The sequence below is a fragment of the Homo sapiens genome, chromosome 14 (genome assembly GCF_000001405.40).
Source record: "Homo sapiens chromosome 14, GRCh38.p14 Primary Assembly".
NCBI lineage: Eukaryota > Metazoa > Chordata > Mammalia > Primates > Hominidae > Homo > Homo sapiens.
In genome coordinates this window covers 29,698,610-29,724,549 of record NC_000014.9, presented here as the reverse complement: position 1 = coordinate 29,724,549, position 25,940 = coordinate 29,698,610, and the positions used below count along the sequence as shown (strand labels likewise).

The window sequence follows — 25,940 nt, the reverse complement described above, 5'->3', positions numbered from 1 at the left end:
ACAGTTGTGTGAGATCCTGGGATTGCCACAACTTCATTGTGTAGATGGATCCTATAAAACAACTTTTTTGCTAGATAAAGGTAATTATTTTTCTGTTGCCTGCACCTGACCTCTCAAAACTACGGACTAGACATGTTGTTTTCTAAGTTTCCTGTTTCTGAACACTAAATTAATTATTCAGGGAAATCATGCACTGGATCAGTTCTTGCCATAATTCATATTAAACTCACAGCCAGGCTGCTTTGTAAATAATGTAATGTTTTATGAGTCCTTTTGCCTTGTGTCAATGTCCAGAAATATATGAGGACTTTTAAAATTGCATTTCTAAATATAATGTATTATTCTTTCCATTTTACTTTTGTTATCAAGCACTTTAGAGTAGTAGCAGACAGATTGAATGCAACCTGTGTGTGGGTGTATTTATGTAGGAGAGGACTGCTTATTTGCATGTTATCCCAGCATTAATGAGCCAGACCTGCTCTTCCCTCGTGTTGACCTGATGTAGCCCTCTAGAATTCCCTTGCTGCATGAGAACAGCATTCTGCTTTTCCTCTCCCATCTTTGCAAATTGAGAACTTCATTGTGCGTATGCCCTACCTCCCCTGCTGTCCACCCTTTATGTTCCATGTCTCCTGTTTTCCTGGCCACAGTTGTTGAGAGGGCATTTAAGAGCAGCCCATTTCCTTACCTGCTTTCCCAGCACCAGACTCCAGAAGGGCTCCCTTACTCTTACCAGCTATTTTGCTGGAATTTAAAAGGAGCTATTCTCTAACAGTTTAATTCTAGTTTTGAACGACATAGTGCCATTTTCCCAAAGTCATTGACCCTTTAAATTGTTCAGTTAGTATATCAATTACACACACACACACACACACACACGCACACTCAATTATGTTTAGATCTCCTGCGCTTACCTATAACCATCGACAGCAGTACTCTCCCAGCTCCTCTCCCACTCTATTGCTTAGCATTGTGATTTGCTCAATAAATGTTTATGTTTACAATAGTTTTTTAAACCATCCCACCCCTTTGTATTACAACCCTGTTTCTTACCCATATCTCTTATCTCTTTTCCCTTAGCCTTTTTAGGCCCTGAGTCTATTGTGATCAAATGCCTGATGTTCCTTTCTTTTTCCCGGTCTTTATGTCTTCCTTGCATCCTGACTCTCCTGAAGGTGATGCCCCATTTCCAAGAGGCTTTGCCTCTTATTTTCCTCCACTCTTAGTTGAGGAGTTGAGTGATATGGCCCTCTTCTGATTTCCCATTGCCATTTAATTATTTATGTCACCTTCTTTGCAGTGAAGTGATTTATTTTCCTTGAAGACTCATTTCCATTTAAGTATGGCAATAATTGTTGTCAGATTCCTAATTTTACTTTCCATTTTAAGTACTCATTCATCCTTGGTTTTGTTAACATACATATTTATGATTCTTCAGATTCCTTGTTATTTATTTTTATTATCAGTCACCCATAATGCCATTCCTGACTTCACCAATAAGACAAGGCTCCAGCTTCAAAATCTCCACTTGGTAGCACTCCTCTTCTCCTACTCTAGCCTGTCCTTCTTGTCCATCTCTACCAAGTGCACATTCCTGTTCCCTGACTTTTTCACTGTATTTTAATCACTAACTCCCTACCATTTTTGACCATATTTTTCTATTTCTTTTTTCTCCACATAGCATGCGACTTATTATATTCATGTCTTACACCACACTTTGATGGAGTTTCAATGACTTTGTATACCCGGGCAGGGCCTGCAATACCTGTTAGTAATCTGAATTACTTTACCACCCATTTTTGCCATTCTTTTCCCGAGCCACATAGGACACACAGTTCCCAGCCTACCTGACTAAATGCAGATCCAACTTTCACCTGGCCTAACTATTGTTCAGCAATCTTTCCCCCACCTCATCCTTTTGTTATCCATAGATATGAGGTTCTCAATAAATATGTATGAGTTCACTTATTAACTACTGGCTATGAGAATAAAGTTACTACATATATACCATTTTGTAAAAATATCGATTTGTTGTAAAATATTATTTCTAGATATATCCTCAGAAATAAACTGAACTTCAAGTCTTCTTGCTATGCATTCTTTTGGCCCACATAAGAGAAATCAGGGCCTATCAAGTGAGTAGGATTGTACCATGTTATAATTTGTGGCAAGGCGAGTGATAGCAGCAAGGACACTTCAGGCCATATGTGCAGGAGAGCTTGGATTACATACTCCTTCCTGACCTAGTCCCTGAAGGGGACACGAAGGGTGCTGCATTTTCCTTCTGAAGCCTGTAGTTTTACTGTTAAGTTTTATTTATCTGAACTTTCTTTTTCCTTATCACAAATTAAATTTTACTCTGTAGTTTGATGTAAACATAACCTGGTTGTTTTTATATTTAACTAACAATCTACCAGCAGGAACATTTTCTGACACAGGACTGCAGTAAAAATGAGAGAAAAAATAGGGAAAAATTTCAAGGTTAATTTTATTTCTTCAGACAACATCAAGATTTTTTTTTTTCTTTGCTTATATCATTTTCTGCTCAGACTTTTCATCATCTTTTAACTGCTTTGGGAGTGAAAACTAACCAAGCTGCTTCTGGCTAATTTGCTGATTTTTTTCTCCCTCCGTTTCTTTTTGAAAAACATGACTAGTGTGAGCTAGTACATTTAAACGCAGTAAGCCAGGAAAAGATTGCTCATGAGTAGATGGATTGGGTTATTGAGGAAAAAAATAACAACTGCATGAAAGTTCCCTACCCCACCTATCCCCACTACTGGCAAATTCTCTTTGTATGTTAAACAAAGGACTAGCATTCTTACTATTGTTAAGAAGTAGGAAAACACTGAACATGGAAATTTTTTTTTTTTTACCAGAGTGAAGTTCAAGTGTATGGTACTGAACTGTAAAATCAAGGTTGTGGAATGTATTTGAAGCCTTCTTCATGATGGGCCTCTATCAAATCCTGATAATTCAGCCTTAGCAAACAAATTAGTAACAGGACTACATTTACATGACTCAAAACACTGTTTGTTTGGTTGGTTTTGGCTTGATCTCTAATAATTATCAGTGTATATATGTGTGTGTTTATGTCTATATGTGTGTGTATCTTGTAGGTAGTTAAATAGAGACTAGAAAAGGACTACAAGAATTCCTCAAATAAAGTCACAGTTTTAAAAGTTTGAAAGATAAATGTTGAATCTTTCCTTCTTACACTTAAGGTTAAAAAATAAATGTTTTTCTTGGGCTTCTTTCATTATAGATTTACAGTAGATTATCTTGTATTATAACTTTTGCAAAAAGCTATTTCCACATGTAGTTAGTTTTTGGTCCTCACTATCAAGAGAAGGGAGCCTCATTAGAGAGCTGGCACTGTAGTCCAGGCAGAAGAGGCGTGGGCCTATTCTCGGGCTATGACAGAAGAGCTGAAAATGAGACAGAGAGGTCAAAAATATTTTAGAAGTAAAAGTGAACAAACATAATAACCATTTTGATGTAGTTGATGAAGGAGGAATGAAAAAATCAACAGAACTCTCAGGAGAGCTACAGCTATGTGAGAGTGCGATGACATTTCCTTTATCCCACCCCAAGTCTTGCCCTCAAACATTGTTCAATGTGTTTGCCAAATGATTCAGGTACTTATCTGAGGGGCTGAAGAACTAATTTCTCAGGAAGGTAGTATCATTGATTTCCTTCATGATTTTGTACAAGTTGCAAAACCTTTGGGCTTCAGGATTTATTTATTTATTTATTTATTTATTTTTTTTGAGACAGAATCTTGCTCTGTCACCCAGGCTGGAGTGCAGTGGCTCAATCTTGGCTCACTGCAACCTCCACCTCCCGGGTTTAAGCAATTCTCCTGCCTCAGCCTCTGGAGTAGCTGGGATTACAGGCGCACACCACCACGCTCGGCTAATTTTTGTATTTTTAGTAGAGACAGGGTTTCACTGTATTGGCCAGGCTGGTCTTGAGCTCCTGATCTTGTGATCCGCCTGTCTCGGCCTCCCAAAGTGCTGGGATTACAGGCGTGAGCCACCGTGCTCGGCTTGGGCTTCAGGATTTTTTTTGTTTGTTTTTTAATCAAACAAAAAGCTTCTACTAGATGAAAGTATCATACAGTGATAATATTACATGCATTCTATACTTGTTTTCATTCTGGAAGTAAAGTATTAGGCATGAGGATAGAGTATAATTTCCAGGGCCAGAAAATCTGAGTTCATATCCTTTATCTATTCTTCACTACTTACATTGCCAAGACTTGTAATCATTCTGTGCCCACGTTTCCTCATCTGTAAAATGGGGATAACCCTAGCACCTATATTGTAAGGTGTTTACATAAATTAAAGTAAAATTGCTTGTAAAGCACCTCAGACAGTTTCTATACATAGCAACTCCACAATAAATGTAAACTATTAAGATTGCTTCTTCTCCTCACACTCTAAGCAGCCTTTAAATGTGATGCGTATGCTTATTAAACATACCGCAAAAGGGAATCCTGGTCCTTTAACTTTGGAAAATGTTGGGCTAAACAACTTTAAAGGAATTATTTGCTGCAAGTCTCTTTAGAACTTTGGTGCATGCTAATGTGAAGCATAACTCTCCAAAATCATGCCCAAGTTCACTTTCTCACGGAATACTTTTTCCCCTCTCTGAGCATCTGGTGAGTCCTGGTTCAGCAGGCCACTCTCTACAGATACTCCTCTGGGTGATGACCATGGAACAAATTGTCTGAGAGGATGATCCAGTCTCTCTGCACAGAGGGGGAAGATTTGAGCCATAGAAAAGTAGGAGTTAGGAAGCATGAAATCTTTGCTTACATAATATCACAGGTTTTTGAAGCAGTTTATGTAAGTAATTTGTTTCCTTCACAATGACTCTGGAAAGTAGAGAAGTCAGATATTTGAAAAGCTATAGAATATAAATTGTAACTTGCCTATGTCCTGCAGAGAGTAGGAGTAACACCAGAGCTTGAATCTAAGTGTTCAGTCACTATTAATACCATTTCAATACCATTTAGCCCTTTGAACTTGAACAAGTAAACAGAAATAGTTGAGGACTTGTTCAAAGAATTCCTATTGCAGTAAGAGTTTATATTTCAGGGACCATTGATGATATTTGTAACAGCAAAAGTAGCAGTGAGCTTCAGGAACCATTGAGATGATGTTTGTCATAGACCATTATCATCCTCTTCCTCATAAAAATGTAAATATTTAATTCATATACTCAAACTTTAATGAGGTTAAGAAAACCCTGAAGGTTCTTCTCTATAGTTATAATACAAAATATAAAGCAATATAACAGTGTCACTGCATCACTAGGATCCCATCATAAGTTCACAATTCTGATCAAAATGGAAATAGTGTCTTAGGGTCACTATATTTAAGAAATCCTTATAAGCATGTTTTACTCCTACTACGATTCAATGCCTAAATCATAAACCAGGAAAAAAAATATGGTAACAACATTTTATTAAGCTTCTTTTTTCTTTTATAGAAAGTGCAAATTACTGACTTTATATATTAATTTCTCTTAGATATAATATTATATTAATTTGTCTTAGATATAATACATTGGTTAGCAATGTAGCAATATTTTATCTTCTGTGAAATTTAGGCAGAAGATAAAAACCCCAAGAGTGATATAGTAAATCACTGTATTATTTCCTCAAAAGTATATTGCATAGATATAGTTTTTGTTTGTTTGCTTTTAAGAAGGCAGAATTAATTGTGGGCAACACCTTCTCAGCCCTACTACTACTTGGGCAACTAAGGTTTTATAAGACCTGGCCTTCAATGCTCAATTTATATTTCCTTGTGTTTGTACTTGGACATCTAAGTGTCACAGGCTGAATGGAGCCAAATCTTCTCTAACTTCAGTTGCAATTTTCTTTGCAGGTGGTTTTGTAACAGTGGAAAATCTAAATGTGAAAATACACGTCATTTCTCTTTTCTCCCAAGTATGGCTTATGTTAAATGTGTCTTCAGCATTTCCTTTTTGTGATTGTTAATATTCTCTTTCCATTCTTATCTTTCAAGTAAACCTGTGTATTAGTCCATTTTCACACTGCTATAAAGATACTACATGAGACTGGGTAATTTATAAAGAAAAGATGCTTAATTGACTCACAGTTCCACATGGTTGGGAGGGCTCAGGAGACTTGCAATCATGGCAGAAGGTGAAGGGGAAGCAAGGACCTTCTTCACATGGCAGTAGCAGAAGTGCCTGTGAGAGCTCAGGGAAAACTACCATCTATAAAACCATCAGATCTTGTGAGAATTCACTCACTATCACGAGAACAGCATGGGGGAAACCACCTCCATAATTTAACCACTTCCCTGCCTCGACACGTGGGGATTACAATTCAAGATAAGATTCGGGTGGGGACACGAAGCCTAACCATATCAACCTGGTTTTAATTTCTTTGTGCCACACTAAACCATTTTCTCAGAGAAGAGAATGCAGACAGCAAGCAGATTGGAATGTTACCATAGACTCCCACTTTTCCCTACTTGTGACTTCAGTAGGGATATTGTGCTTGGTGCACTTCTTCCTCACTTTGATAGTTTTCTTGGTTATTTATCTCCTGATAAAATGGATTCTCCAGGGAGGAGATGGAGAAGCAATGACACAATAGTGCATTGTTTCTCCATCTATTTTTCCTCAAGCACCCCTAAATATCAAGGCAGAGGGAAGAAATTCTGTCCAGGTCAACTGGGGAATAAGACAAACCCGGAAGTGAAAAGTCTTGAAGCCTCTTATTTCATATGAAAATTTTATGCACATTTTCCATTCTGCTGCATTATATTCTTCATGCTGTATACTTTTAAATAAATAATATTTCTTGCCACATATTGTTCTTTTAGAAATAATAATAACAATAGTGATGTTAATATAACAATAGTGATGGTAACATAACAATAGTGATGGTAATATATTTATGATATGTTATGCACTGTTCCAAGTGCTTCACATATATTAACTCAGAAATATGCATCATATTTATGTTATATCTCCACATAGCTTCAATTTCATAAGTAGTTGATTTTCAGTCAATACTTTGGTTTCAGTCCCAGAGTTGTCATTTATTTCTTATATAATGTTCAGCAAGTCACCCCATTTCCCTGAATCTTGATCCATCTGCTGTAAAATAACATTAACAGTATCTCCAATATATGGTTGGGCTGTAGAATTCATGAGAATAAATATAAAGCATTTCACAAGATGGTTGCCAAATGTAAAGTACTCAATCCTCTTACCCCACCTCCACCCCACTGCACTACACATTTCTTGAAATAGGAACGATTTATTTTAATATTTGAAACTTTAGGATCTGGTATATCACATGCAATCAATATCTATTTATTGAGTGAAAGAATGAATCCTTAAATCAATGAAATGTACAAGCCAGCAAATACATGAATAATTAAATTGATGTCCTATGTATGATATCCAAAAGTTAATGTTGTTGTATAGGAATTGAATTTTATTAGTTCTTCTTGACATAATCTATTAGTAAAATTAATATTATCATCTGATTAATTCTTCTTTTTCTGGACTCTTGTTATCTCCTAAATATTGTCAAAAATGTCTTTTAGAAAATTGCTTATTTATTTTTAAAAGTCCTGTTTTTAAACATTGCAGTTTCTTTCACAGTATTTCTCAAGCAAAATTATACTTAATTCATGGAATACCAATTGTTTTCCTAATTTCTATGATTCCTGGATTGTGTTCATCACCATGACCAAATAACCCCATTTGCTATTGTACTAAATTCACTCTTCAGTGAATCAGTTTTCCCAACCATTGCTCTTTTCTTCCTAAATATTCTTGCTTTCTTTCTGAGATGTATTCAGTAGTTACTCCTTTTTGATGTACCCCCCAATACTCATCTCATTTGACTTCGTCAATTTATTCATTGTCTTTTTCTTTCTGGAGCCTCTGTGTTTCATATCTTCGTTACAGCTCCTAAGAGGTGGCCCTGGAGATGGCCTTGGGCTCTGGCCTTTCTATTTCAGAGTCTGGAAGGAAAGAGGATTGATATCCTGAGGTCTGGCTGACCTCTCCTGCTGTTCCTTCTTCCCCTCCTCCTCTGTAGTTTTATCCATTTAGCAGAACAGCTGTCCCTGCCTAAGGGTCAGCTGGCAAGACCTACAGAAAAAGTTGAGTCATGTGCTCCAGAACTGGATTCTAAATCTCCATAGATCTCTGTCAGCAATACATACCGTGGTTTTCATGGAAGGACATATCAAGCTTCTCTCTTCACACAGAATTAGCCTAAGGCCTAGTTCCTCAACATCTGGCAAGTGGATTTTCAGCCAGAAATTACTGTTTCTGCTTCTCTTCTCTTTTCATCTATTACTGTGCTAATTGAAGACAGTATTATAACTGTCACCCATGAAAACAGGAAAAGAACACGAGGGCAATGAAAACCACACAAAGGGGACTTTTGTCTCTATGCTCTGGTTACTGTGAAGCTAAAAATTCCTTATATTTGCTTCTTAGAATGGAAGTTTAACGGTCTGGTCTAATTTATGTAAGTGCCATGTTAGGGCCTTGATGGCACAACAGGACTTGGATATTAAGAATCATTCTAAAAAATATAGTAAGGCATTAGCTTGTTATTTTTGCCTTTTTATATAAATTGGCTTCTAAAACGCATGTGGCTTATTTACTAAATTTGACTCTGGATTATTTGGGGTTTATTTTCAAAAATATCACAATCCATGTCAAAAATGAAAGCTTGACACATAGGATATAATGAAATGGATGAGTTATAGAATCTGACAATACTATGAAAAATGTTTTAGGCAATTACAGTATCTTTCAAAGAGGGATTATTTTGGCTCACTTTAATAAAGAGGTGATAGGATTTGTTTTTAGTTAGAATGTTTGAAAAAACCTTTGGTTTTCTGCTGAATTGGACAGCACAAATTTCTTGTGCTTGAGGCTTAAACTAGAGAATAACAATGTTTGGGTTTTTATTTTGTCTATTTGTTACAAAAGCATGAAATTCCATTGATGAGAATTGGCTGAGAGATATGCAGTGCAACCATTTATCTAGGTCTGCACAGTTCATTGTGGTAGCTTTTAACCATATGCGACTATGTACATTAATTAAAATAAATTAAAATGCAATCCCTAAGTCACAATAGCCACATTTCAAGTGTTCAATAGAGACATGTGGCTAATGGCTGCCATATTGATATAGAACATTTTCACTATCTGAAAAAAGTTCTATTGGACAGAGCAACTAGATAAATCAAATTTTACTCCAAAGAGGGTATAAACTTGGATCACACTGTTTACACACATGCACATCCTGCAGAAATACTTTTACTAAAATGACCTTCAATGTGACATATTGAATGATGTTATGAATAACACACTTGTAAATTTTGGTAGCATATTTATTTATTTTATTATTTATTTACTTTTTAAATTATACTTTATGTTCTGGGGTACATGTGCAGAACATGCAGGTTTGTTACATAGGTATACATGTGCCATGGTGGATTGCCGCACCCCTCAACCCGTCATCTACATTAGGTATTTCTCCTAATGTTATCCCTCCCCTAGCCCTCCATCCCCCAACGGGCCCCGGTGTGTGATTGTTCCCCTCCCTGTGTGCATGTGTTCTCACTGTTCAACTCCCACTTATGAGTGAGAACATGCGGTGTTTGATTTTCTGTTCTTGTGTTAGTTTGCTGAGAATGATAGTTTCTGGTTTCATCCATGTCCCTGCAAAGGACATGAACTCATCCTTTTTTATGGCTGCATGGTATTCCATGATGTATATGTGCCACATTTTCTTTATCCAGTCTATCATTGATGGGCATTTGGGTTGGTTCCAAGTCTTTGCTATTGTGAACAGTGCCACAATAAACATATGTGTGCATGTGTCTTTATAGTAGAATGATTTATAATCCTTTAGGTATATACCCAGTAATGGGATTGCTGGTTCAAATGATATTTCTAGTTCTAGATCCTTGAGGAATCACCACACTGTCTTCCACAATCGTTGAACTAATTTACACTCCCATCAACAGTGTAAAAGCTTTCCTATTTCTCCACATGCTCTCCAGCATCTGTTGTTTCCTGACTTTTTAATGATTGCTATTCTAACTGGTGTGAGATGGTATCTCATTGTGGTTTTGATTTGCATTTCTCTAATGACCAGTGATGATAAGCATTTTTCATGTTTGTTGGCTGCATAAATGTCTTCTTTTGAGAAGTGTCTGTTCATATCCTTCACCCATATTTATTGTGGAAGCATATTGTGGAAGTCTCATGGAAGAAATTGTTCACTATATCACCCAGTGATTTCCTTACAGCACAAATTCCTCATACCTTAGTACCCCAAACAGCTCTATTTTATGAGAAATATTACTCTTATTACATCTAATGTTTGTTTTTGCTTTGGTTTTGGACTCTCAAATCTAATTTGTAGACTGCTTTTAATACTGGTGTAAGTCAATACTGCATTTCTTTTATTATACTAACCTTTTGTATTTGGCATAATTCCCAATTTCTCCAGGGTTTTAAATTTTCTATATCTTATTTAATTGTGTGTTACATAGAATACCCTACTGATTAAAAGAACAGGTCTAGAAGTAACCGGCCTGAGTTTAATTTCAGTAGCTGCCACGTTTACTAGCTGTGTGGCATTAGGAAAATTATTTAGTGTTTGAATACCACAGTTTCCTGAACTTCAAACTGAGAACTGGTCATGGTTATGATGTAAAGTATATAGCACATTGCCTAGGACATAAGGCTTTTGTAAAATCATCTTAGAAAGAAAGGATACAGGAAAAGTAGAAAAGAGAAAAAGAAATAGATCAGGAAGAGCAATGCAGTATTATGATAAAATATATAGACTATTTGTACCATTTATGAATGGCTTTGTTTCCCTGTTTTATCTCATATTTTCCCAAAATACATGGTGTAAGTTTTGGTGGCTTACAGAAACATACAAAATATAATGAAATGTCAGTAACTGACAATGGATGTTGTCTAAGTTAGAAAAGACAACATTCAGTTAAGTATATAAATTCTAGAATATCCATTTAAAAACAGTCATATAACTTTATTGTTATACTTCATAAGCTGCCTTGAATCATATAAAAACCTGCTCTTGAAGGCCAGATCTTTCTTTGGTAGATTCCTTGATGTTTATTCACAAACGAATCATCTAGATTTTGGGTAAATGTACCTAGTAGCATTCTGAATGCAGGTTTAAAAATGTGTTAATCAGGATTGGTCAATGAAGGTCAATATTGATCAAGATTGTTTTATGGTTTTATGTGGATAGATGCTCTTTTTTACTAAGAGGTCATATTGGAATGCCCTTTGATTTCTTCCTATGCAGTGATGAAAAATCATAACAAATACTTTATTTCCATATTCAGTTCTCTCTTTCTCTGTATACACACAGACACACACGACAAAAGATCCTAGAGGAGAAAAGGAAGGAAAGGCAGAATACTTCATACCCTCAAGATCAGTGATCATTAAAAGTCACTGAAGGCTGCCTGCATTAACAAAGCCAACTGGAGAATGGCTACTAAATGGCTAGCTGAAGACTTCATGGACATTAATTATTTTTGTTGGAGGTAAAAGATTGGGCTTCATTTGAAAAGCTGCCAGATATTCCTTTTGTTCCATGATTGGTGGCGCATAGCACTTCAGTTCAATAACTCAGCCATGCCACCATCTGCCCAGCACTCTCATTCTGTTGGTTGGCATGTCATTTATTTGCTTTTAACATGCAACCCATATAAAAATCCCTCATAATCTGCCAAAATTAGAAATGCAGCTGTTTTAAGTCTTAAACAGCAATAGCACTATTCATTATGCCAGTATGGAGGAATAAAATAGAAAAATGTATTTGGAAAGAGCAATGCTACACCAGAATGTATTTGTACCTTCACTTTTTTAACATTCAAGACATCTATAGTCTGCTACCAGTGCTGACTTCAGGCTTAAAGTTGACACATAAATATACCAGATAGCTTCTTTAGTACATACATTTTAATACAAGAATTGGGATTTGAATCAGCTCTGAATTATTTTTCATGTTATAAAGCAATTTCAGCCTTTCAGTTTCTAGAAAATGAAAAATTTCTGGCTAACCCTGGGTCTCATCTTATTCTATTTTTATTTTCCTCAGAAGTTTCTTGAGGTTCTGATCATTATAACTTGTTAATCCAGAGAAAAACTGATCATGTAGAGCTGTGTGGAGAATTCTCAATGAGGCAAGCAGTTAGTTAGTCCCCTATTTAGGGGAAAAAATGATGAAGAGAGAAAAAAAAGAATTTTCTCCCACATACTAATCTTGTGGTGCTGAAAAATGAAATCCAAAAACTACCTTTTGTTTCACTGTGCTCTCTGCAATCACATTATTTGGGAGTGATGGGTGTTAGGAAACAATAAAGATCTGGTATTACTTTCCAAAGACACCTTTCTTCACAGTGAGTAGACATACTTGTTCTGAAACGAAAGTTGGATAGTTTGCAATTGCTTTGCTTAATCCTATTCAATATTCCTATAAGTTTAAATGTCTAAGTTGAATTCATTTGTCTATTTGTTAATGGTGATCCCACATGAGATCTTCCATCATGTGAATTTCACAGACTTAAAAACATAATTTATATTTGTGAGAACTGACCAGTAAACAATTATTTGCTTTCTGTGAAGTCAGGGCATGAAAAGTAATAAAAGTAATGGTTGAGCATGACACAAACTTACTAAAATAGATTTACTTGATAGGCCTTTATTTACTGTACGTCTCCATCAAGATTAACAGTACTAAAGAACAAGGACTGTAAGCTGTGGTTCTTAAAAGATCCATATGACAGTTAGGTCAGTACCAGATATAAGGTAGTCATTCTGAAAAGACTTGTTCATGATTGATACGTTTTGCTTGGCGATTTAAGATTTCATAATTGGATCTCAATTTTTAAAAATTTAAATTTGGTTTTAAGCAGTTAATATATTTGGAAAATCCCAAAGTTAAAATTATGTGAATCTCCCCGTTTCATATTACATGTAGTGGTTTCTAACCACCAATGAAGGAAAAGAAACCCCACAACATTATTCCACTGTCTTATTTACTTCTGTATTTGCATTGTATATTGTGTTGGATCTAGTTTATAGCTGTGTGATTGTCAATTGCTGTCTTAACTACCAAATAATGCAGTGTAGTTTAAGTCCATGTATTCTTAGGTTTCTAAAGTTAAAATATTATTCCCTTCCTTTACACTAATTAGCATAGTCCTGGCCTCTCTTACTCTTTAGAATACATTGGACTTTCTAACATGTTATAACATTGTTATAAAATTTTAATGAAAAATATTTAATTATATAGCCTCAATATACCACCTTTTCCACCTAGGACAAATGTGTAATGTTTATCTGTTGAGTCAAATAGATTCATCTATTTTGTCCTTCAAGGTCAACAGCAGTCTTGGGCTTATCTCATGTATAAATCTCTACTCTGGTTGGTTCTTTGCTTTTAAAAACTTTTAGTGCTGAGCAGAGGTCTTGGTTTGCCATCTCTAATGACTGAAATCTATTCTTGGTCTCCTGGAGTACTTAACATGCAGAACGAGGGAGACAAGCACAAATGCATCTTTCTAGTTTTGAAATCAGATTGTCTTTCATAGATGATAAAACCCTAGCAAGGGTTTCAGTAATCAACCTAATATATATTTTTTTAACAAACTTGTATTTTGGAATAATTTTAGATTTACAGAAAAGTAGCAAAATATACACAGTTTGTCTCACCCAGATTTATTTTCCCCTAATATTATCATCTTACATTGTCATGGTACATTTGTCAAAACTAAGAAATTAACATTGGTATATGATTTGAACTTACCAATCTTTTTCATTAATGTCCTGTTTCTGCTCGGGACTCAATCTCTAGCACATTACATTTTGTTGTTATATTTTCAAAGTCTCCTCTGCTCTGTTGGGGGTCTGGTCTGTGACGGTTTCTCAGACTTTCCTCGTTTTTCATGGACTTAACCATCTTGAGTAATACAGGCCAGGTATCCTGTAGAATGGTCACCAATCTGGGTTTATTGGACGTCTTTCTCATAATTAAACTAGGGTTACAGATTCTGGGGAAGAATACCATAGAAGTGAAGTAGCTTTCTTATCACGTCACATAGGGGTACATGATATCCACATGACATCACTGATAATGTTAACCTTTATCACTTGGTTAAAGTCGTGTTTGTCAGGTTTCTCCACTGTACAGTTTCTATTTTCTTCCTTTGCCCAACTCTGTCACTAAATCTGTCTCACCCTCAATGCAGGGAAGAAAAGCTCCACCCTCTGGAGAGTGGAGTGTCTGCATATATTAAATGGAATTCTTCCATCAGGAAGATTTGTCTCTTCTCCATTTACTTATTCAAAACCCAATTTTAGGTCTTTATTATTTTTTACTACATTTGATAACATGAATTCTAGTGCTTCTTGCCATAGTTCTGTTTTTTAATTCAACTTTCCTTCTTAAACATATAAAAAGAATAAACACACACTGTGTGAAGAAGTAATTGAACACTAGTGAATATCAGTATAACCAACTGGGATTGCTAATTTTGTGTCAACTTGACTGGGCCATGGAGTTTGGTTAAAGGTTATTCCCGGTGTGTCTGTGAGGGTGTTTCTGAATGAGATTAATATTTATATTGGTTGAATGAGATTAATATTTATATTGGTAGATGGAATAAAGTAGATTGCCCTCCTTGATGTGTGTGGGCATCATCCCATAAATTGAAGGCCTGAATAGAATAAAAAGAATGACTAGGGAAATTTTGCTCTCTCTCCCTGTTTCCAAGCTGTTGCATCAGCCTTCTCCTGCTTTAGAACTCAGAGTTGGACTGGAGCTATACCATTGGCTCTCCTGGGTCACCAGCTTACCAACTGCAGATCTTGGGGTTTCTCAGCCTCTATGATTATTTGAGCCAATTTCTTGTAATAAATCTTTTTATGTATCTGCATCTGTATCTATCTATTTCTCTTATTGGTTCTCTTTCTCTGGAGAATCCTAATATAACAACCGTCCCCCTGAACAATGAGAGCAATGCTATAATCCTGAAAAACCTTTGTGTGCCCCTTCCCTGACTCTGTGCCTTCTCGCTGTCTTGAAATTTGTGTTAATCATCTCCTCGGATTTATTTTTTATATGGTGGGATTTAAAAGCTTATAAATTGGAATTCTGGTATGATTAAGTAGGTATGGTTCTTAATGCAACAAAAACTGTAAAATAATTCTTCTATATTTTTCTATTTTTCCCTTTTACTTAAGGAAATAAATTGTATGTCTTTTAAAATTCTTTACTAGTAACAATAATGAAACATACTCTGTTTACTGAGTAAGCTAACTTTATGGGACAACTTTATTCCATAACTAATCTGCTTCTGAAACAGGTGCTAATCAATAGATATAGGAAGCTCTTCTCTTTAGATCTGAATTTGCCATCAACAAAGGGAATTTGCTTAATAACAATTTCCAAGCATGCAGTACATATTGAAGAAACTTGGCACATTAATGCTATAGTAAAAGTTAATAAAGTACACCAAAATATATCTTATAATAAATATAAAAAATTTTGCTATCTTGGGAGTGGTTGTAGCTTTATTTTTATTTAAAGACCTAAAGTTTTGTTTGTTTGTTTTTGAGACAGGGACTTGCTCTGTCACCCAGGTTGGAGTGCAGTGGTGTGAACATTGCTCACTGTAGCCTCTACCTCCTGGTCTCAAGTGATCCTGCCACCTCAGCACCCTCCCCACTTCCGTAGCTGGGACTACTGGCATGCGAGCCACCATGCCCGGCTAATTTTTGTATTTTTTGTAGAGAGGAGGTTTTGCCATGTTGCCCAGACTGGTCTCGAACTCCTGAGCTGAAAGGATCCACCTGCTTCCAAAGTGCAGGGATTACAGGCGTGAGCCAGTGCGCCCAGCCTAAAGATTTTTTTTCTTAAATAAATATTCTAACTTGTGAGGATGCTTGATCCCTTTACCTCACTGAGACTAATTAGTAAGAACGAAATATCTAGACAAACCTTTTATTTAACGTCATGGCCACCAATACATTTTGAAATTAATTTTTCAAAAAATTCAGATGCTTATGCACTTAATACCTATTCAGTCACTAAAATGAAGACTTGTAGATTCAAATTCTAATAATAGTTTCAATTGTCTGTTTCATTATTGGCTCCTCTGAAGATATGTAAAATTATCCTAATGCCACTTTTTAATGTCATCCTTTAAATAGTCAATGCCCTAAAGTCTTATCATTTCTAGGCTGTGCTTTCTTAGTTCCTTCAACTCCCCATTGCCTCATTTGGGGACTTGATTTGGACATCTTGTTAAATTGTCCTTCCTAATGTCATCTTATCTGCTTGATGGGGACATCATTATGTGTTAATTCCTTAGGTAGGAATGATAAACACACTAGAATGACTAACAGCATTTATTAAGCAGCATTTGTGTTTTAGATAAAAGGTGAGCCTCCAAATGTAAGGTTGACAAAATTACCTTTGATGGTCAAGGAGCTGCTGTTAGAAGAGATGGGCAGTTAATGAAGATTGATATGTCATTAGCCAGATATTTTTGAGAGGTCTTGGAAGGGTCAGTAATCTATTAGCCTGAAAGATGTATCCCAGGGGCCATCTTATGATGATGAATAAAGAATGAGTCCAGGATGGAACATCAACATTCATGAAGCCGACAGACACAATCTAGAGTCAGGAGTCAGTGAAAAGTTACTAATATCATGAAGTAATCCAGTAGTGAGTTTCATATACAAACAGGGAGTTGAGCTCCAGAAACACAAAAAGTGCCTGAATTGGAGGTTCTGCCCTAGTTTGGAGGTGGAAATGGTTAGCAGTTCTTTGGTTGCATCAGGGAAGAAACTGATAGGAGAGGTGAGTGATACTGGACTTACAGATATATATCATAAATTATCTATTTGGCTATTATTTATGTTTCTTCCCCACTCGAATATAATTTCCACAAAGGCAGGTACATTATCTTTCTACTTTATTGCTATATGCTATATTCTCAGTGCCTACAGCAGAGCCTGACAATAAGCACAATACATATAAATTAAATGGACAATTGAAGGAATCTAATGTATCCCAAACTTCTGTTGATATTACCTTCTATTAAATAACTACATCCCTTACTATCTGCTAGTTCAAGTACCATATTCTCCCACCTTTCTCACTGGAATAGTTTCCTTGTTGGTTTCCTTGCCTCCAGTTTTGTTCCCTCTCATTTCATTCTTTTCTATTGTGTAATCCTAGTAACTTCTAAAGCCTGGATTGGATAACAATATTTCTCTATATAAAACCCTTCAATAGCATAAGGCTAAATCCTCCTACATTATTTATGAAATTGTTTGTGATTTGACTTCTACTTAATTCTTCAGCAATATGGCTTCCTGTTCTACTCCCTACTCTACCCGATTCTAGTATATGGGCATATGGAACTGCTCCCATTTTTTTTAATACATTAGAAGAAATGCCTTGCCTTGCTTCCAGTTCCCTTTTACACCTGCTAGTCCTTCAACCTGTACTATTTGTATGCATTTTCATCCTCATTTGATTTGCCTGGCTAATTTCAATTCATCTTTCATGACTCAGCACATATATCCTTCCCTAAGAATCTCACCTGAAATACCACATTTGGGTGAGGCAACTTTTTCTACCAGGTGTTCCCTTCAGTAACATATCTCACTTTGTTTATAATTACACTTTTGCTGGTTTTAAAGTAGAAGATACTCTGTGAAAGAAGGGACCATGATTACCTAATTTGTAAGTGTAACAATAATATCATAGGATTTTTGGTAAAGATTATATGAGATACTAAAGCCACTTACATGTTTTAACATTTTTTCTTCTTGTTGTTATTATTATCCCTGGTGCCTTGTGCAACATCTGGCAATGAGTGTTGCTAAATAATTATTTTTGAATATATTAAACTTTCACGCTGATTGTTGTCATGGGCACTTAAGTCAGATTTGAATTTAAATTTGATATGGATGATAATCAGTTTAGAACATTATCATTATTACTTGTCACTGCAAAGACAACATTGTTTTAATGGATGTTAGTGTGGGTTTTTAAAACTCATAATTTTAACAGCATCTAACAAGATTTCCTGGAAAACACTCATCAGTGAACAAGAATAACGCATATGGATTGAATTTCCATTGAAATTCAAAGACTTAAAAAGAAATGGGGAAACCAATTTTATAAAATGGGCAAAGAATTTGAATAGACATTTATCCAAAGAAGATACACATATGACCAGTAAGCACATGAAAAGGTGCTCAGCATCATTCGTCATTAGGAAAATGCAAGTCAAAACTACAGTGAGATACTATTTAACATCCAGTAGGATGGCTATAATCAAGTAGACAGACAGTAACAATTTTGACAAGGATGTGGAAAGATTGGAACCCTCATAAATTGTTGATGGAATGTAAAATGGTGCAGCTGCTTTGGAAAACAGTTTGGCAGTTCCTCAAGAAGTTCCCAGCAATTCTACTTCTTGGTTTATACCCCAAAGAATTGAAAACATATGTTCATACAAAAGTTTATACACAAATATTCATAGTAGCATTATTAATTATAGCCAAAAGTAGAAAAAACAGATGTTCATCAACTAAGGGGTGGTTAAAGAAAATGTGGTATACCCATTCAGTAGAATATTATTTAGCTATAAAAATGAAGTAAAGATACTTGTTACATCATGGATGAACCTGCAAAACATTATGACAAAATGAAGAAGCCAGTCAGTTTATATGTTATATGGCATTTATATGAAATGTCTGGAATCAGTACAACCATACAAACAGAAAGTAGATTAGTGGTTGCCATAGGCTTGAGGGAGGGAAGAATGTGTCGTGACTACTAATAGTGACAGGGTTTCATTTTGCAGTGATGAAATATTTTGGAATCAGATAGCAGCGATGGTTCAGGAACCTTATGAATATTTTTAAAACCACTGAGCTATATACTTTAAATGGGTTAATTGTATAGGATGTGAATTATATCTCAATAAAGACAAAAAAAAAAACAGAATCTGGCTTTTCTGTTCATCGAGAGGATAAAGGTTTGATAAAAGGAGGGTTAGGTTGGTGCAAAAGTAATTGCAGTTTTTGCCTTTACTTTCAATTAATCTCTGAAATGAAAGCAGTGGCAAAAACCGCAATTACTTTTGCAGCAACCTAGTATGTTAAAATAACATGGAGGTCATTCATAATTTTAATTGCTTAAGTTCTGTGGAATATAAGGATAAAAATGTCAAGAAGCTCAAATACATTTATTTCTTGGGAATAAGTTATTTCAGGGATAAATTTCAGGGATAAAATAAGGATAGTGGTTATTCAGATCATCGTCTTTAGAGGATAACATATCGACGTGAGTAATTCAAAGGATTTGGCTATAGTACCTTGCAGTCCTGAAGTACAGTTATGCTTTGCTTCTGTGAAGCAGAGATTTTCCACTCTTGTCAGGGCAGAGCAATCTAAAGTGGCATTTTATGCAGTGGTAATTTTGATGGAATAACACTACATCTTTAGCCTTGATAGGACAAATATCACATGGACCGAATTGTGTGTGAGTCTATTTGTGTGTGTATGTCTGTGTGTGTAAAAGAGATATACCAAATCCTTCTAGATACATGCGTCTGTTCTTTCAACTTATTTAAACTTTTTAATTATGCCATCTACACAAAAAAATGAGAAAAAAATAACTCATTTAAAATACCTGAGTAAATGTGCATAAGTATGAAGTCATTGAACATATAGAATGGAAGTTTGGGGTCTCAAACAAAACAAAACAAAGAAAACCAGTTACTGTTGAGGGGATACACAGGCTCCCACGTGAATGCTCTTGAGATTTGTATTGAAACAACATTGAAATTGGGGCAGGGGGTGGGTGGAATTATTGTGCAGTGGTAAGGGCTTTGGAGTCAGATGCACTTTGGTCTGATTCTCTGCCCTCTTTGAAGGCTTTTTGAAGGATTCCTTAGAGTGTAGTTCTCCAATCAGAAAATAAATTTCTTGTCATTCAAAGTAGGATAGTAATGTGTTGTAAATTAGTGTTTTACTTTGGCAAGAATGATAAAGAGATTAGTCGGACTCGATACCAAATGCTGTTATCCACATAGCCAGGTATAAAGGATGAGTGGCTACTAGTACAAAGATGAGAGACCATTCCATAGGAATTGAGTAGCCCTTATTTTATATTTTTCTCATGGTGGGTCCTTTCTATGGTTATGCCATAATTACATGTTTTATTTCTGAGTCATGGGTCTTCTTTTATAAACAGGCCTTTCCCCTGGGTCTCTGTCAGCTATGGCAAGGAGCATGACTGTCTCTTCACTAGATACCCTTTCTCAGCCTCAGCGCCTCACAGTCCAAAAACTCTTTGTCGAATGGTTTTGTCCCGTGTTGTATTGTTTACATTTCTTGTGGAAATATTCAGTATTACCTATCATAAGGATATTCAAATATAAGATCTGTGTTTTCCTAAATGTTTTGATTCTCAGAATCCAGCACCCAGTGAAAGCACTGGCTTGCCCACTCTGATGTTTTTACTTCAGAATACAAACAACTCTGTATGTGTTTTGGGGTTTGTGAGAGGCCATGTGAAAGGCCATGGCCACAAGTATTCAAATCTTGATTCATAGGAAAGAGTTTGAGAGTATCCCTTGAGCCTGGACCTTTGTTCTGAAGCATCCCTAGAGATGTTTATTCCCTCTGTATTGTTTATGTTTGCATGACTGATTAGTTGTCACCCCAAAGATATATTCATTAACATATATTTATTTGTGTACATAGACTCTAACATGAGGTGGGAAAAAAAGATATACACGTAAATCTTATCATCTTCCTTTATACCTACATCTTCCTTTTCTACTCTCCAGTATATCCTTCTAAATTCTTATTTTCTGATTGTGAGATAGTAATCATCAAAACCCTTCTAAATTTGTTATTTCTTTCCCAAAGAAGAATAAAGTTATGTTCAATGTCTCATTTTCTGACATAACACATAACATCTAATACTACAATCATTTGAGTTAAGAGCAATAGAAACTGTCCCAAAACCCAGTGGAGTATAACGATTCACAGGTAGCACCAGACACAGTCTGCCTACCAAACAGCAGCCCTCAAATTTAGCTGTCATACCCTGTGCAGCGCAGGGCTTAGTACAATTGAAGTGGATTCCTTGAAGGCTGAAAGGGGAGAAAGTAAAAAGGAGACATTAACTTTATTCCAAAGTCTAGTAGGCATAGTTAGAGATGTTACCACTGTTTTTGCATGGAAGGTGATAGGAGATGCTGGGATTTAAATAGGAAAGCTTCTTGAGTTGAGGATTGGTAAATATTGATGAGGTAACTGAGAGGAAGGCATAGACAAAGAATGGTCAAAAACCTATGGGGAAAAAAAATCACAGATTTGACCACGTGGCAAAGAAAATCTTAATAAATTCCTCAAAGTAGAAACCTCCCAGGCTATGTTCCTCAACATTAGTGCAGTAAAATAAAATAAAAATAGAAAGGACAAACAAAATTTATTAACTTGGAAATTTTAAAATATCATTCTAAAACTTCAGGTTAAAAAGAACAAACAAATCATGAAATTACAGCTAATTTGAAATGAATGATGAGAGCATTATTCATTATGCACTTTTAGGATATTGCTAAAATGGTCTCAGGAAGAAAATCAATACCCTTAAATGCATTTATTAGTGTACAAAAATATTTAGAAGTAATGAATTAATTACTTCGCTAAAGGACATTTAAGAGAACAATAAAATAAGGGAATTACAAAATATTAAAGATAATACTATGCATAACTTTTTATCAATACCTTTGAAAATCTAAATGAAGTCTGTTCTAGAAGTGAAGGGTAGTACAGTTTCCATAAATGTATTATTGCAAAATTCTTACATTAATAGATTAAAAAAGAAAACAATATGATCATTTCAATAGGTATTGGAAAATTTTGCATCTATTTCTGAGATAAATGTGTAGCAAGTTAGGAATAAAGATAAACTTTCTTAACCTGTATCAAGTACCTCATATAACAGGGAAGTGAGAAAGAATTATTTTCATAAAAGTCTGAAATAAAGTAGAATGGTCTAATATCATATTACTAAATATTATACAGGAGGTCTTAGCTAACGACATAAGAAAAAGAAATTGTATATAAGCATTAGAAAGGAGAAAACCAATAACTGTTTTCTACACAGTTTGACAGTTAAACCTAAGAAATTAAACTTAAAAGCTCTTACACGCAATTAGAGGGGTTGATAATAAACCATAAATCATCAGAGAAATCCATAAAATACTTAGGATTAAACCTTAGAAACATCCATACTTCTAGAGGAAAACTGTGATACATTCTTGGATTACAATGCAAGAAGAGCAAAGGAGACGATTCCATATTTCTAGATAGAGAGGTTCAATAACATAAACATTTTAGTTCTTCCCAGATTAATCATTAATTTATTACAATCCTAATAAATTTCAAAGGAATTTATTTCATTTGATAAACTGATCTGAAAGGGGAAATGTGAAAGAATATCTTCGGTATCCCAATTTTGGGCTCTTGTGATTCTGAGATGTTAAGAGGATTTAAGTCTGAGACCAGAAATATAGAATATCAGCCTCAGATCATATTATGCTAGGTAGCAAATAAATTATCAAAAACTGAGTATCATCAAAAAGATATAGTTACCAACATGAAGGATCACCGACTGAGCAAATGTGGAACAATTTAAGCATCAAAAAGACTAAAAAGTTCAATTGCTGGAAGCATACTGAATATATAAAAATCTGTGAGCTCATGATATGTAAGAGTTAAAAAAGAAAAGAAAAAGTATTGACTACCACTGGAAATAATTAGGGTACCAACTAATTATTCAAAAAAATAACAAGTAAAAGTAAGGAATTCAGAATTTATGTAGCCTTTCATGTATGAACTGAATTGCAAATAACCAAATAGCACTAATTTATGAGGAAAAGATATTCGTTGTGAAAAAATTTCAGCTAGTAATGTGGAATGAATGGGAGAAAGAGAAAGTCATGCTTTTGCAGCCTTTAATAAAATCATTGATCTAGGCAGTGTTCATCAATGGATAAATCATTACGGCATTGCTTCTCAAGTGTACTGTGCATCAGACTCTCCTGGAGGACTTGTGAAAACGTAGATTTTTGGGCCTCACTCCTATAGGTTCTGATTCAATATGTTTGGGGTGTGGCCAAGAACATACATTTCTAACAAATTTCCAGGTGATGCTGATGCTGCTAGTCTGAGAATCATACTTCAAGAGCCTCAGTTTTAGATAAAACTTTGGTAAGGAAGTTCAAAATGAAAAGATCAGATATAACCACCTGAATCTACTTATCAATCAGTACTAAAGTAGACATTGTGGGCCTCAAGATGTTATGCAAAATGAAGTACACAGTTCTGAACTCTATTAAGTAGGATTCCCAGAGTTCCCACACACAACAGGGTGTGTGTGTGTGTGTGTGCGCGCGCGCGCGCATGCGCACGCGTACACACAAATGCCTTGGGAGGAAGGGGAGGGAGACAGCGAGAGAGCGAGGGGAATTGGTACATGTGATTGTGGAGGCTGACAAGTCCAAAATCTGTAGGATAGGGTAGCAGAGACCCAGGGAAGAATTGATCTTGCAGCTGGAGTCCCAAGTCTGCTGACAGAATTCCCTCTTCTTCAGGGGAGGTCAGTCTTTTTTCTGTTAATGCCTTCAACTGATTGGACGAGGTCCTCCCATATTATGGAGGGTAAACTGCTTTACTCAAAGTCTACCGGAATCTCATCAAGAAATACCTTCACAGAAATATCTAGAATAATGTTTGACCAGATATCTGGAGCATAATCTAGCCAAGAAGGCACATAAGATTAACCGTCACACAAACATAAAGCATTCTTGCCCAAAAAGTTGAACCTGAATTTAATTAGTCCTCCAGAGGTAACTTTCTTTTACATGAAATACAGAAAAAATAGGAAGAAGTTAAATGAAAAAACAAGGAGCAGAAGTGATTAGGCTTCTTCTACGTGTCAGCAGCATTTTAAAAATGAAGAAAAAGGAGGTGGACTTCTCTAGATCAAAAGAGATTTAAGAGACATAATAACCAAATGTGATATATTGAATTCATTCAGCTCTTATTCAAACAAATCAATTATAAAAACAAGTTTTAAAACTATTGGGGGACATTTGTTTATGGAGTAGAAATTAGGTGATATTGATAATTGAAATTGTTAGTTTCAATTAATATGATTATTGCATTTTTAATTATGTATGCGAATGTCTGGTTTTTTTAAAGAAATGTACCCTAAAATTTGTAGGGGTATAATGACAAAATATCTGGAATTTGCTTTAAAATACTTCAGCAAGGGAAAAAAAAAAAGAAGGGATAAGCTAAGCAAATATAGGAAAATCTTGATAATTTTTGAACCTAGTGTGGGAAATGGGAGCTTACTATACCTTTCTTTCTTTTGGTTTTAAAATCTTTTAAATAAAACTTTAAAATACCAAAAAGAATACATTCCAAAAGAAGAATGATAAAGGAGCACTTACTCTTCCAGATATCAAAATGTACTACACAGCTAATAATTAAAACAATGTGGTTTTGCCTTAAAGACAGATCTGTAGCCTCCAGAAAGAGATATATTTGTGTATAAAAATGCAGTGTCACTTTGAATCAGTAAAACAAAGAATGTGTTATACCATAGGTGGGGTTGGAACAATTGGATATCTATTTAGAAAATAAATTCTAAGCAGTTAAGAACTAAGAAACAAAGTCAAAACTCTAAAATATTAAGGGAAATCATTGCCCTATTCAAACCTACTCAAATATTTAAACTCCTAAACAATTAAAAATACCTTAAATATAAAGCTTTAGCATAAGAATTGGAGAAAACTTTGCCATAAAAGGCAAAGGATTAACAATTAAGATACACATGGAGCCTCATTCAGAAATAAAAACAAGTAAATTAATCAAAGGAAAAATTTGCAAAGGTCTGGACAGTTTACAGAAGAACTAAAAATATGTGAATACAAATGGAAGATGAATACGCAATTGAAAAAAAATGGCCAACCTCATCTGTAATCTACAAAGTGCAAATTAATCTTTCACCTAGCAGACAGTCAAAAATTAAAAGCCCAGTATTGGATACAGTACTGATGAGGGTACAGGGAAATATGCAGCCTCACAAACTGTTGGTTGGAAGGTAAATTGGTAAAGCTCTTTTGTTAGGCAACTTGATAGTACTTTTCAAAAATTGTAAAACAAAAAGTCATTGACCAAGCAATTCATTTTTACTCTTTAGAAATACTTTCACATGTAGAAATACTTCTTATAAGGATATTAGCAACAAATTAGAAATCCGCTATGGTAAGTACCCATTGGTAACCAAATTTTGATATGTCATTGCCATTAAATACTATATAATAGAAGGAAGGCTGAAGGAAATCTGTAGTGATTGACATGGCAATATTCATGGCATTAAGTGTAAAAAAGTAAGCAGACTGTATTCGGTGGATCGCACCTTGTCAAAGGCTATACTTAACCACGCGAATCTGTTTTTGCACTTTAGCATCTAACAGGAAAAGGCATTCTTTACTTCATCCCCAACACAGTTTCTTTTACTTCATGAGGTTAGTGCAGGCTGAACATTGTGATGTAATTTTAAATAGGATCCTGGATGCTATTGATTTTTGCCCTTAATTTTAGGGAAAAGAGACCACGATTAAGTCAGTTGTCAAGACTCACAAACCAGCAAGCAGCTCTGTCACACATTGCATGGAGCTGTGTCCAGGAGGCACTTACATTATCAAATGGCTTTAAATGCAAGCAGATGAAGGTGTAGGATGACGTTCTATAGAGGA

At 35.3% G+C, this 25,940-nt stretch overlaps 1 protein-coding gene across 7 annotated transcripts in view; it reads left to right on the top strand.

Moving 5' to 3' along the window:
* PRKD1 (protein kinase D1) overlaps window positions 1-25,940 on the top strand; it is a 351,369-nt gene that overhangs the window by 203,298 nt on the left and 122,131 nt on the right. The window contains exon 1 of one of the 7 annotated variants that reach the window (XM_047431590.1): window positions 5-80. The exons of the other annotated variants lie outside the window; for them this stretch is intronic. The gene's annotated coding sequence lies outside the window, so the exon portion shown is untranslated. Of the gene's footprint in view, window positions 1-4; window positions 81-25,940 lie in introns of those variants that run through there. 7 annotated transcript variants of the gene reach the window in all.